The sequence below is a fragment of the Homo sapiens genome, chromosome 11, assembly GCF_000001405.40.
Source record: "Homo sapiens chromosome 11, GRCh38.p14 Primary Assembly".
In the NCBI taxonomy this organism is placed as follows: Eukaryota; Metazoa; Chordata; class Mammalia; order Primates; family Hominidae; genus Homo; species Homo sapiens.
In genome coordinates this window covers 66803657-66816346 of record NC_000011.10, presented here as the reverse complement: position 1 = coordinate 66816346, position 12690 = coordinate 66803657, and the positions used below count along the sequence as shown (strand labels likewise).

The 12690-nt window shown below is 41.0% G+C and overlaps 1 protein-coding gene across 2 annotated transcripts in view, besides 1 other annotated feature; it reads right to left on the bottom strand.

Annotated features, from left to right (window-relative positions):
• Positions 1 to 12690, bottom strand: part of TOP6BL (TOP6B like initiator of meiotic double strand breaks) — a 98748-nt gene that overhangs the window by 27170 nt on the left and 58888 nt on the right. The window contains exons 9-11 of one of the 2 annotated variants that reach the window (NM_024650.4): positions 12157 to 12349; positions 2332 to 2482; positions 148 to 294 (exon numbers count right to left, since the gene is read on the bottom strand). In NM_024650.4, coding sequence (NP_078926.4) covers positions 148 to 294; positions 2332 to 2482; positions 12157 to 12349 — 491 coding nt within the window. Of the gene's footprint in view, positions 1 to 147; positions 295 to 2331; positions 2483 to 12156; positions 12353 to 12690 lie in introns of both variants that reach the window. The other variant, NM_001302084.2, reaches the window with a different exon arrangement.
• Positions 2986 to 3769: an enhancer, noted in NCBI's record as "H3K27ac-H3K4me1 hESC enhancer chr11:66580049-66580832 (GRCh37/hg19 assembly coordinates)". NCBI's record gives its function as "activates a minimal SCP1, AML or CMV promoter by ChIP-STARR-seq in naive H9 embryonic stem cells {active_cell/tissue: H9 hESC(naive)}" and the evidence as "EXISTENCE:reporter gene assay evidence [ECO:0000049][PMID:30033119]".

The window sequence follows — 12690 nt, the reverse complement described above, 5'->3', positions numbered from 1 at the left end:
TATGTTCATTTTATTAAGCAAGGTTTTTCACTGAACTTATTTATTCTACAGAAATATATCTAATTTAGATGTGTGCATTACACAAAGTTTCCCTCTCTCTTAGCATTTGGCACACCCCAGCTGGCAACCCCATTCTCTTATACTTACCCCAGATTTCCATTTGCTGGACTGGAAATGCACTGTGGAAATCCACAAAGAGAAAAAGCAGCAGAGTTTGTCCTTGAGGATCCATAGTCTGAGACTGATCCTCCTCACTGGATTCCACCTGATAACTCACATCTGGAAGCACCAAATCTAGAGGACAAGATATTACACGAATTTCTAAGATAAGTAAAGCTCTTGAAATACAAAGTGACTACAGAACCTGTATTCTGAACAAAGAAGGATCTGAGAATAGGAGATCTAAATCTGAACACCCATTTACCCTCCTGAACCTGTTTCTCTATCCACATGATGGAAGCAAATCATAATGACTCACAGGAAGAACATTAAAATAGTAACTATGTGTGTAAAATGCAAGCCAAACAGCACTCCTTTACATTACTGAGAAGCTCTACACAATAAATTCATTGATTCCTTGTACAACTTTCTAAGGCAGGTATGGCTGGTAAGAGGTTAGATTCACCTGAGTGTAATGACAACAGCTAATTTGTGTTATGTGCCAGGTACTGCATCAAATGCTTATGTACTATTTCAACATTTAGACTTCACAACAACAGTATCGGATAGAACCTATTCTTATGCCCTTTTACAGATAAGAAAAGAGGCACAGATAGGTTAAATACCTCGTCCAACGGGAGCCAGTAGGTGGTGGAACTGAGTTCTAGACTTTGCTAGACTGACTAAAAAACCTGTTCTCTTAGCCCCAATACTATATATTTGTATCCCCAAATGTAATCCATTGCCCAGTGGTCACTTTCTAGCACCTTGATCCTTTAGAATACAATCAGGATAGTCCCATATTTCAGATCCATGTAGAGAAGTACCTCCATGTGGATCCTGGTTCTGTCCTTTAGAGTAATAAGGGAGGGAGATGAGAGGACATTTCCTACGTTATTCATTTCCAAAGTTAACTGAGAAAGTTCAGGACCATGAATTGGCAAAAAACTAAACCAGCAAAGCCCAAAAACAAAAATGAAAGAGAAAAGGAGGTATGGCGATCCCTAGAAATTCACCAGTCATATCTCTATTCGAAATCGGTGGAGTCTATCATTCCCTCTAAGATACTGCCCCATCCCAGTAGGCTTCAATGTTCTCATACCAGTCATAGCCGCAGAATACCTCTTCCCTACTGGTCGTCTTCTTCAGGAGCCAGACGACCAGACTACCTTCTAAATTTCAAAGGATTCTAGTTAGAACAGTCAATCTCAAAACTGCAACCCCTCCTAGATATCAGCCCATGGTCGCATACTCCAATTTCCCAGTTTTATTAGCTCAGTTATTAACCTCCAGCTTTTAGCATGATTCACCCAAAGCTGGTGTGGTTAGAGCTTATGGGAATATTACAGCCAGCTTCCTAGGCCTAATACTATTACATCTTGCATTTGTATGCGTTTTAACTTTTTCTAAGGAATTTTATGTGGATTTTCTCAGTTCATTATGAAGCATTTCTCTTCCACAGTAGTTCAGAGGTATCATTGCTCCCTTACTCACCTTTGTAAAGGCCCAGAGTTGACAGATTAGGTACATTAGAAATCCTCTGAACAAGTATCTAACAGAAGGACCAGGAATAGAGGAGGCAGCAGAGGAAGTAAGAGGAGAACCAGTATCAACATGCAATGCCAGGCCGGGTGCGGTGGCTCACACCTGTAATACCAGCACTTTGAGAGGCTGAGACAGGTGGGCCACTTGAGGTCAGGAGTTCAAGACCAGCCTGGCCAACATGGGGAAACTCTGTCTCTACCAAAAATACAAAAAACTATTAGCCAGGCATGGTGGTAGGCACCTGTAATCCCAGCTACTCGGAAGGGTGAGGCAGGAGGATCACTTGAACCCGGGAGGCGGAGGTTGCAGCCAGCCAAGATCATACCACTGCACTCCAGCCTGGGCAACAGAGCAAGACTCTGTCTCAAACAAAACAAAAACAAAAACAAGCAACAAAAAAAAACATGCAATGCCAAAACAAGCTCTGAAAGAGCTTGCCTGTTTGACACCTGTTTGCCTCACTTCAAGTGGTCTCTCACATTTGGCCAGACCCTGACCCCCAAACCCCAACCTGGGCCATCAGATCTCTGGTCATATTTTTATACACACGTTCTATTCATATTTCCTTTCATTTATCTAATATTCTTCAAATGTCTTAATTCCTGTGCAGAAAGAGGGAGGATATACCTCTATCCAAATTGAGATCCAAATTGGGTATCATACACAAATGGTATTTTTTCCAGTCAACTAAAGAAGAGGTATCTTTGAAGAAAGTAGTCATCGGCTGCTCCCAAGTTGACAATATCAGAGGCAGACCCAAAGGTCCATATAGAAATATGTGTAGTTGCTAAAGAAAACTGCCAAATTTTAGTATCTTATGACTATGTATTCACTTGTATAACAAACAAACAACACTGACCTGGTTTACACTCCCATAAGTGTGCTATGCAGTTACTTTTTTTTTTTTTTTGAGATGGAGTCTCGCTCTGTCGCCCAGGCTGGAGTGCAATGGCGCCATCTCAGCTCACTGCAACCTCCACCTCCCAGGTTCAAGTGATTCTCTTGCCTCAGCCTCCCAAGTAGCTGGGATTACAGGTGCATGCCACTATGCCTGACTAATTTTTGTATTTTTAGTAGAGACGGGGTTTCACCATGTTGGCCAGGATGGTCTCGATCTCTTGACCTCGTGATCTGCCCACCTCGGCCTCCCAAAGTGCTGGGATTACAGGCGTGAGCCATCATGCCCAGCCTATGCAGTTACATATTAAGCCTTTTCCACACTGAAGACAGATGTGAGGCACCAGAGATAGATCCACTAGGATCCCCAGAAATTTATTCTGGGTTTAATAAGTGTGAGCTACAGATATAATATTAAGACAGTTTATTTATTCATCCGGTTCACATGGTCATAGATTTGAAAGGCACCACAGGTTAACATTGTTTTAAGTTCTAAGTTCTTGGGGTACAAAGACAAATATCCAGATAATACCTGTCCTCAAGTTTATCATATTTACAACATGGGAGACAGACATAAAAGCCGGTAAGCTGTAATACAATGTGATACATGCTAGAAGTATATACAAGAGAATATCTTCTAGGAAGTATTTGAGTATACTTAGATTGAGAAGGAAACTTCCTCGGATTGTCTCCAAACCTATTATCTAAAACAAAGGAAGGCATGCCCCTGAAATGGTTTCTATCTCTGAACTTCCCATTCCCACTCTCACCCTACCTGTAACCCAGGGTTTCTTAACCTCTGCACTAGTGACACTTTGGGCCAGATAATTCTTCACTGCGGTGGGCAGTCCTGTGCACTATAGGATGTTTAGCAGAATCCCTGGCCTCTAGCCACCAAATGCCAGTAGCACCCTTCTTACGTTACCCCCTCCATGACAATAAAAAACGTCTCCAGACATTGTCAAATGTCCTTTAAGGACAAAATTACCCCATTAAGAACCACTGCTTAACCTTTCTTGTCCCCTGAACCAAGGCCAGAGACCAGAATGTGTGCTTTCCTTTATCTTTCATTCGTTTTCATCCTCTTTCTTATGGGGTAAACACAAGGTATTGTGAAGATTAAAATTCCTACCCAGTGGGCACTGAGGCATTATGGAAAGGCTTTATACCCATAAATGAAGTCTCCCTCACAAATCTCAGAAGGCATTAACACATGAACTAAGGCTGACTCACTGTTTAGGGCAAGGGGATTTTTAAGATGCAAACTCAGGGCCAGGCGCGGTGGCTCACACCTATAATCCCAGCACTTTGGGAGGCTGAGGTGGGCGGATCATGAGGTCAGGAGATTGAGACCATCCTGGCTAACACGGTGAAACCCCGTCTCTACTAAAAATACAAAAAATTAGCCGGGCGTAGTGGCGGGCGCCTGTAGTCCCAGCTACTAGGGAGGCTGAGCCAGAAGAATGGCGTGAACCCGGGAGGCAGAGCTTACAGTGAGCCGAGATTGCGCCACTGCACTCCAGCCTGGGCGACAGAGCCAGACTCCGTCTCAAAAAAAAAGATGCAAACTCAGAATAAGAGGGGAGTGTTTGAGGAGCCAAGATGTGCAGTTGTCTTATAATTGGGTTGTTTAAATCATTTACTTGTAATATGAAGATAGCTATAGTGGAGTTTAAATCCATCATCTTTTTTCCATTTCTTGCTTGTATTCTTTGTTTCCTTTTTCCTCTTTTCTATTTTTGGATTAGAAATTGTTTTTTACATTTTAAAAAGTGTTTTCTCTCTCTCCCCACCCTTTTATAAGACACAAGGTCTCATTCTGTTGCTCAGACTGGAGTGCAATGATGTGATCATAGCTCACTGCAGCCTCAAATTCCTGTGCTCAAGCGAGCCTCTCTCTGCATCAGCCTCCAAGGTAGTTGGGACTACAGGTGAGAGCCACCATGCCTGCCAGGAATTTTTTATAACTCCATTTTATCTCCTTTTTAAGTTATTAGTTATAACTGTTGCATTAAACCAGGGATTGCCAGGCTTTATTAGTATACAACTTTAACTTATCACAGTCTACCTTCAAATGATATTATAACAATTCATATAAAGTTTAAGAATCCAACAATATACTTCCACTTCTCTCCTCTTGGCCTTTGTGCTATTGTCACAGGTTTTATTTCCATAGATGTTATAAACCTTATACATTATATTTTTGCAGATCCATGATCAATGAACCCTAAGCATAAGAAATATGAAGAGTATAGGCTGGGCACAGTAGCTCATGCCTGTAGTCCCAGCACTTTGGGAGGCCAAGGCAGGCGGATCACTTGAGGTCAGGAGTTCGAGACCAGCCTGGCCAACATGGCGAAACCCTGTCTCTATTAAAAATACGAAAATTAGCTGGCCATGGTGGTGGGCACATGTAGTCCCAGCTACTCGGGAGGCTGAAATGGCAGAGATAGAAATCATTTCAGGGGCCTGATTGATTGAACTCAGGAGGCAGAGGTTGCAGTAAGCTGAGATCACACCACTGCACTCCAGCCTGGGCAACAGAGTGAGACTCCATCTCAAAAAAAAGAAATATGAAGAACATAGAAAATGATAGCAAGATATGTCACACACACACATGCAAAATTAGCCAGGTATGGTGGTGTACACCTGTAGTCCTAGCCACTCAGGAGGCTGAAGTGGGAAGGTCACACGAGCTTAGGAGTTCAAGGCTGCAGTGAGCTAAGATCAAGCCACTGCACTCCAGCCTGGGAAACAGCAAGACCCTGTCTCTACATAAATGAATAAAGCCTCAGTGAACTGCAGGATAACTTTAGGTGGCCTAATTCAGGAATGTGTAATTGGAGCCTGAAGGGAGAGACTTCAAGACTTGTTTTTTAAAGATTTTTTTTTTTCTGGTAAGGTACTTGTGAAAGGAAAATTAAAACTCAAGACCCCAAATCACTATGCCAAAAGGAAATAATTTAGCTGAAAGCTGAGTCATGCAAGAAGCTGTCTCTCCTTTTGTTCCTAAGCAGATAGCTACAGATAAAGGGTTAAATACCTCTACAGGTAGCTACTGTAATGTTCACCTTCTATTATATAAAGGGCCACTTTACTGAGCACAAGACAAATACATAATTGACTGTTCCCCTACTTGCTCCTTTTCTCTTGTAACATATGGATTCAATAATGTGATCATCCCCTCCATCTTTCCTCTCCAGCCTGCGTTTCCCCTTTAAATACTGAAGACCTCAAAACCATCTTTAGAGAAAGGCACAGACCTGTCTCCCAGGAACATCCTTAACCTTGGCAAAATAAACTTCTAAACTGATTGAAACCTGTCTTGGATGCTTTTTGGTTTATATACTCAAGAAGGATATTTTGTGTTTTTAAAAGGACAAAAGTATTTTGTATCTACCCGCATAGCCACCACTTCCAGTGCTCTTCCTTTTTTGGGTAGATTCAGAATTCCGTCTGGCAACATTTTTCTTCTACCTAAAAGATTTCTGTTAACATTTCTTATAATACAGGTCTTCTGGTGATAAATTCTTTCACCTTTTCTATGTCTGAAAAATTCTTCATTTTGCCTTTTTTCTCTCAGTACTTTATAAAGATGTTACCCCACTTTCTTCTAGCTAACACTGTTTCCAGTGAGAAATCTGCCATAATTATTTTGTTCCTCTATACATAATGTGTCTTATCTCCAGCTGCTTTTAAGATTTTTTTATTACTGGCTTCAAATACTTTGATTATGATGTGACTTGGTATAATTTTCTTCATATTTCTTACACTTAGGGTTCATTGATCATGAATCTGCAGGTTTATAGTTTTCATTAAATTTGGAAACTCGGGGGTGAGACCCTGTCTCTACAAAAAATAAAAATAAAAAAATTAGCCAGGCATGATGGTGCATGCTTGTAGTCCCAGCTACTCAGGAGAGGCTGAGGTAGGAGGACTGCTTAACCCCAGAAGTTCGAGGTTGCAGTGAGCTATGATCGCACAACTGCACTTTAGCCTGGGCAACAGAGTGAGATCCCTTTAAAAAAAATAGTTATTTCTCTGAATTTACACTCACATATCTTCTATCTGATGCTAAAAACTTTGGTTCCTAACATTGTTAACATAATTATTTATCATAAGTATGCATACAATAATTCCAATATAAAATACCAATATTATTACTAACAATCATGCCACTGAATAAATTTTAAGAGGTCTTTGGACTTCCATTTCATCCTTAGAGTATATCCTGCTAAGAACGTATAGTCAAAACACCATGTTCTAAAGTCTGTTGAATTAATTCTTCTTGTTACGTGGATTATAATTTTAACATAATATACAGGTAAGTTTATTACCTTTTATGTTGAGGAATATTTGGATTGGATATGAAATTCTAGGTTGGTAATGATTTTATTTCAAGACATTAACACTATTAGTCTAACACCTTCTGTTGGTATGGGGAAGTCAACTGTTAATTTATCTTTTAAAGATGATTTGTCCTCCTGACTGATTTTAAGATTCTTCTCTGTTTTTCATCTCTTTAGGTGTAGAAATCTTTTTTATTTATACTGCTTGATTATTCTGTTCTTAAATCTGTCTCAGCCATCCTGGCTAACACGGTGAAACCCCGTCTCTACTAAAAATACAAAAAATTAGCCTGGCGTGGTGGCGGGTGCCTGTAGTCCCAGCTACTTGGGAGGCTGAGGCAGGAGAATGGCATGAACCCGGGAGGCGGAGCTTGCAGTGAGCCAGATCGAGCCACTGCACTCCAGCCTGGGCGACGGAGCGAGACTCCGTCACACACACGCACACACACACACAAATCTGTCTCAGTTGTTTCAGCCATTAACTCTTTAAATATTGTTTCTGCCCTATTTTCTCTTCTCTCTTCTCTTTTTGGACATCAATTAAATATACATTAGACAGTTTTACTCTTTACTCTGTTAACCCCTCTCTTCTGTATTTTCCATAACTTGTCTCTTTGTTTTATTTTTGCTAAGTTCTTGCTATCTTTAGCTTTTAGTTTACAAATTCACTTAAGTTGTACTTAATCTGCTGTTAAACCAGTGTACTGAATTTTATTCAACATTGGTTATTATATTTCTTGATTCTACAATTTCTGTTTTGTTCTTGTTAAAAGGTATTTCATATTTTACAGTTTCAGTTTTCTAGTAAAATTTTCAAACTTTGCTTTCATTTTCATCAACATAGTAAGCATAATTTTTCATTTTTTTTTTTTTGAAACTGGTCTCACGTCACCCAGGCTGAAGGGCAATGGCACGATCATGGCTCACTGCAGTCCTGACCTCCTGTGCTCAAGCAATCTTCCCACTTCAGCCTCCTGAGTAGGTGGCACCACAGGCATGCACCACACATGCACAGGTAACTTGTATAGAGATGGGGGTCTCACTGTGTTTCCCAGGCTGATCTCGAACTTGCAGGCTCAAGCAATCCTCCTGCCTCAGCCTCCCAAAGTGCTGAGATTATAGGTGTGAACCACCACACCCAGCTAAGCATAACTTTTTAAAGTCAATATCTGATATCACCAGTATCTGGAGTCCCAGTGGGTGTTTCTGTGATTTTGTTTTTGCTAGCTCTTGTTCATATTATCTTGTCCTTTCTTACACCTGGTTATTTGTGACTGTGCATGTGTGTGTGCATATGCACCATGGGACACTGTATTTGAAAAAGTGTTAAATAATTGGGAGCACAGGATGCAGTTATTTTCCTCTAGAAATTTTTGTTTGCTTCTATAAAACATCTAGAACTAACAAATCTAAAATCATCCTAATCCAATTTCAAAGTTCAAGATTTTCTGGCCTGCCTAGATGACCAAAAAGCATATACAGTCCATGTGAAGAGTAATTTATTTCAGGTTCACCTTACTCCTTAAAATATAGCCTTCTAGTTATCCCTTGCCCAAGGCAAGAGGTGTTTTTAGCAGCACTCCCAAGCTCAGCAGGTCCTGGATTCTTTGGCCTTCTTGTCCTGCACTGATTTGGAAGTATTAATACATCTTAGCCTCTCAACTGCTTGCTCTAATTGGCAAACTGCTCCAGGGCAAAAGCATCCCCCAATGCTAGGCTCAGCTCTCTGTAATTCAAACCTCTCCTAAATCATGGCACAGAAACTCTTCCTCTTCACTAGCTCTTTGATGCTTTTATGATTTTTTTGTTTGTTTGTTTGTTTTTTGAGATGGAGTCTCACTCTTGTTGCCCAGGCTGGAGTGCAATGGCGCGATCTCGGCTCACCGCAACCACCGCCTCCCAGGTTCAAGAGATTCTCCTGCCTCAGCCTCCTGAGTAGCTGGGATTACAGGCATGCACAACCATGCCTGGTTAATTTTGTATTTTTAATAGAGACAGGGTTTCTCCATGTTGGTCAGGCTGGTCTCGAACTCCTGACCTCAGGTGATCCATCCACCTTGGCCTCCCAAAGTGCTGGGATTACAGGCGTGAGCCACCACACCCGGCCTGCTTTTATGATGTTTTAATATTTCATCTAGCCTTTGCCTTCATTGAGAAGGTTGGTCTAAATTATCAAGTTTGCCACTTTCAGAAAGTAAAATCTCAACAGAATTTTCATAGCTAGCTCTCTCTCTTTTTTAAAACATCACCTCCTTAGAGGCTTCACTGCCCATATTTAAAATAACATCTCCATCATTCTCTACTACTTTGTTCTATTTATCTCCACTGCACTTATCACTACCTAATATCTATCTGTTAAATTTTCCCCAAGAGGACAAAAAATTTGTCTGTCTTATCCCTTCTAGATGATGGAATGAGGAAGAAGAAGAAACTTATTTATTCTATACTGTTCTGTACTATCTAGATATAAAGAAAAAGCATGTTTTAAAATAGAAAATGTCCAAGCATAGTCTTCATCACTATCCTGCTCCCTCCACCTCCCTAAAAGATACTATGGTATCTTTTGATATCTGATATGCAACATCAGATAGCTGACATCTATCATACCACGCCTCTTCTGTTCTCTCTTTTTTTTTATTTTGAGACAGAGTCTTGCTCTGTCGCCCAGGCTGGAATGCAGTGCTCACTGCAACCTCTGCCTCCTGGGTTCAAGTAATTCTCCTGTCTCAGTCTCCCGAGTAGCTGGGACTACAGTCATGTGCCACCATGTCCAGCTAATTTTTGTATTTTTAATAGAGACAGGGTTTTGCCATGTTGGCCATGCTGGTCTCAAACTCCTGACCTCAAGTGCTCCGCCAGCTTCGGCCTCCCAAAGTGCTGGGATTACAGGCATGAGCCACCGTGTCCGGCCTGTTCTCATTGTTTATAATTTTCTATAACTTCATTTACTCCTATAGCTTCAATCATATGACAATAACAATTATTAATATTATTGAGTACTCATTATATGCTAGGAGCTTCACATGGATTATTATACTTAATTCTAAAACGAGCAAACAAACCCCAAAAGAACAGAAAACCAATTTTTGCAAGGGAAACTAAACCTATGAGATAAGTATCATCCTCATTTTAAAGCAGAGGAAGTAAAGGCTTAGGCTGGTTAAGTGAGTTGCCTACAGTCACACAGCTAATTAGTAGTGAATCCAACATTTACACTCCTGTGCCATGCTCTAAACACAGCACTACACGACTCTTACCTATGGAGGAAACTGAGACTCTAAAATTCTGTATCTCTAAATCTGACCATTTCCAAGTTCCAGACCAAATTCCTATATAGCTCCTTACTATGTTCAAAGGATGTCTTGAGACACCATAAACTCAACATGTTTAATGTCAAACTCATCTTCTTTATCTCCTAAATCTGCTATTAATGTTTTTTTATCTTGCTGAAAGTATCATTATTCTGTCAGTTATTCATGGAAATATTTTTAAATAGCTTTATTGAGATACAATTCACATACCATACAATTCACTCATTTTAAATGTGTAATAAAATGGATTTTAGAATATTCAAAGAGTTGTGCAGTCACTACCACCATCAATTTTAGAACACTTTCATTACTCTGAAAAGAAGCCCCTCCAGGCCGAGCACAGTGGCTTATGCCTGTAATCCCAAAACTTTGGGAGGCCGAGCCTGGTGGATCGCTTGAGTCCAGGAGTTTGAGACCAGCCTGGGCAACATGGTGAAACTCTGTCTCTACCAAAAATGCAAAAATTAACTGGGCATGGTGGCATGCACCTGTGGTCTCTAGGAGGCTGAGGTGGGAGGATGGTTTGAGTCCGGGAAGCAGAGGTTGCAGTGAGCTGAGATTGTGTCACCGCACTCTGGCCTGTGCAACAGAGCCAGACCTTGTCTCCAAAAAAAAAAACAAAAAAGCCCCTCCATCAACTTTCTCTCTGTATTTGCCTATTCTAGACAGACATAGAATAGAAATCTGACATCAACCTTAGACATTCCCTGCCCCTAATCTCTCCCTACCTTAATAATGAACTGGTTACCACATTTTGTTGATTAATTCAGGTGATAAGTCTGGCCTTTCCGTGCCTACCACACTTTAGATTCAAGCACTCATTATTATTGTTATTTTATTTTTATTTTTTCTGAGGCAGAGTCTTGCTCTGTCACCGAGGCTAGAGTGCAGTGTCGTGTTCTTGGCTCACTGCAGCCTCCACCTCCCAGGTTCAAGTGATTCTCCTGCCTCAGCCTCCCAAGTAGATGGGACTATAGGCGTACACCACCACGCCTGGCTTTAATTAATTTATTTTTTTGAGACGGAATCTCACTCTGTTGCCCACGCTGGAGTGCAGTGGCTGCGATCTCGGCTCACTGCAACCTTTGCCTCCCAGGTTCAAGTGATTATCCTGCCTCAGCCTCCTGAGTAGCTGGGATTACAGGCGCCTGCCACCATGCCCAGCTAATTTTTGTATTTACTAAGATGGGGTTTCACCATGTTGGCCAGGCTGGTCTCCAAGTCCTGACCTTGTGATCCATCCGCCTCAGCCTCCCAAAGTGCTGGGATTACAGGTGTGAGCCACCACGCCCGGCCTAATTTTTGTATTTTTAGTAGACAGGGTTTCACCATATTGGCCAGGCTGGTCTCAAACCCCTGACCTCAAGTGATCCGCCCACCTCGGCCTGCCAAAGTGCTGGGATTACAGGTGTAAGCCACTGCACCCAGCCGTCAAGCACTCATTATTTTTAATCCAGTTCACTTACTTATTTACTTAGTATTACTAACTTCTGTCTCCCATCCGTACTCTATAATGCTGCTAAAGACTTCTCCCAAAACATTCAATGGTTTCTTACTATACAGAGAATAAAATTCACAATCCTTAGTATGGCACTCAAGATCTACCATATTCAACTCCAGACTACTTTTCTAGTCCCATCTCTTCCTCGTGCACCATTCATTTCATGCTTCAGTCATATTGGATTGTATGAAAAACGCATGGCATGTGTCACATTTTACAGTTTTCAGTTCCCTGGCAAAATTTTCAAGCTTGGCTTTCACATTAGATTATATGTTTTTATACAAATCATATATATTTGTAGATGCAGAATTCACATACTAAAGGCTTTCCTAAAACTGGGATATAAAAACCCATTTCAAAGATAATTGGATGGAACTTTTCATCAAAAGGATATGGAAACTGAAGAAATCCTGTTAAGCTGGTTGGAAGAAACCTTTGGGCTGGGGCACAGTGCAGCTGCTGGAGTCAGTATCAGTTCTCCCAACAAGTCCATGCCAGCCACGTCTTCAGGGATGAAAAGCATTACTGGATGTCCTAGCACAGGGTGAATTCTGCTGCAGTGTGATTCAATTGTACCAAAATTTGGTCTACTGTCAGAAAACAGACAAGTCAAATTTAACATTTTTTCCTCTTAAGAAATTATTTAAAAGAGCATTCAAAATTATTTTTGTAACCTCTAGCATATGTACAACCACACAACCTGCCATATCAGTTTTGTTGGAATAAATAACTTATGTCTCACTCAGGGAATCACAGCAATGGAAGTAGTAGAAAAACTGGCATTTCAGAGATATCATTGCTCCTGCTTTTGCTGCCACTAACGGATGCTTCTTAGTTTCTCTTTTTAAAAAAACATTTTAGACCAGGCATTGTGGCTCATGCCTGTAATCCCAGCACTTTGGGAGGCTGAGGTGGGTGGATCACTTGA